A 993-nucleotide genomic window follows, 5' to 3' on the forward strand; every position below is an offset into this window, starting at 1 on the left:
TGCCTTCATTCGGCCGAGTGGCCCTGCCTGCAGCAGCTGCCATGCTCTGAGCTGGCCTCCTGGTGTCAGTGAGCCCCAGCTCAGTGGCCGAGGAGGGCCCCAGGAGTCACAGGCTCTCACTGATCCCCACCACACCGAGGCTGCTTCCTTGTACCCCTGGTTTTAGGTCCAGCGTCCTCACCACTCTGAAATCAATTACTATTTTTACTTCTCTTTTTTTTTTTGGCATTAAGTAGACTTTTGGTTTTTAAATTATCTGAAAGTAAAAGCACAGAAGTGACATTCTTCTTGAAAGTGAAAGCAAGTGTGGAACATTTTTAACCATGCTGTTTCCTATCTGTTCTAGTTTCTGTAGGTAGTGGGTTCAGAGTAGCTCAGAGTATAAGGTGTGGGATGTGTGTGGGGGTGAGGGTTGGCCCAGGTGGACATCAGCATTTGACTCCTTCCTGGTTGCTGTAATTTGGGAGGGACTAACCAGGCTGCTAGATGTGCAGAAGGGTGGGCGCCACCTGCTGGTTGTGTGCATAAACCGCCTTTTCACCCAGTCAATCTTCATTCTTCTTTACTTGGAAATGGCAAATGAAGCCTTTCTATACGTGACTCTAGCAAATTAATTATTTCAGTCTTCCCGAAACACTTTATGTATATAATACCTCATGGTAGCATCATGCAAATGTCCCTTTGCCTTTGCTTGTGCTGGTATACCTTACGAAAAACAATCTGTACATCCAAGATGTCCCCCAACATCACCTACTTCAAAAATCACCTACTTCCAAGATCCATCCCTTACACTCTCCAAACTCCCCAGTCCTCAGAGACCCTAAGACACCTTGAACTACATCTAATCACCATGTGGCTAATGTGTTTGTCTTCTCCCAGAGGGGGACAGAGAATTAGCATTAAATTATGGCAGATCCCAGAAGATGTGCACAGGTCCTAGGACACAGCAAGGTGTTCAATAACTGTTGAAAGAAAGAATGCAGGCAACATATA

The 993-nt window shown here is 45.9% G+C and overlaps 1 annotated feature.

The window, feature by feature from the left end:
• Positions 552-611: an enhancer, noted in NCBI's record as "active region_1732". NCBI's record gives its function as "activates an Ori minimal core promoter by ATAC-STARR-seq in GM12878 lymphoblastoid cells {active_cell/tissue: GM12878}" and the evidence as "EXISTENCE:reporter gene assay evidence [ECO:0000049][PMID:35858748]".

The sequence above is a fragment of the Homo sapiens genome, chromosome 1, assembly GCF_000001405.40.
Source record: "Homo sapiens chromosome 1, GRCh38.p14 Primary Assembly".
NCBI classification, from domain to species: Eukaryota; Metazoa; Chordata; class Mammalia; order Primates; family Hominidae; genus Homo; species Homo sapiens.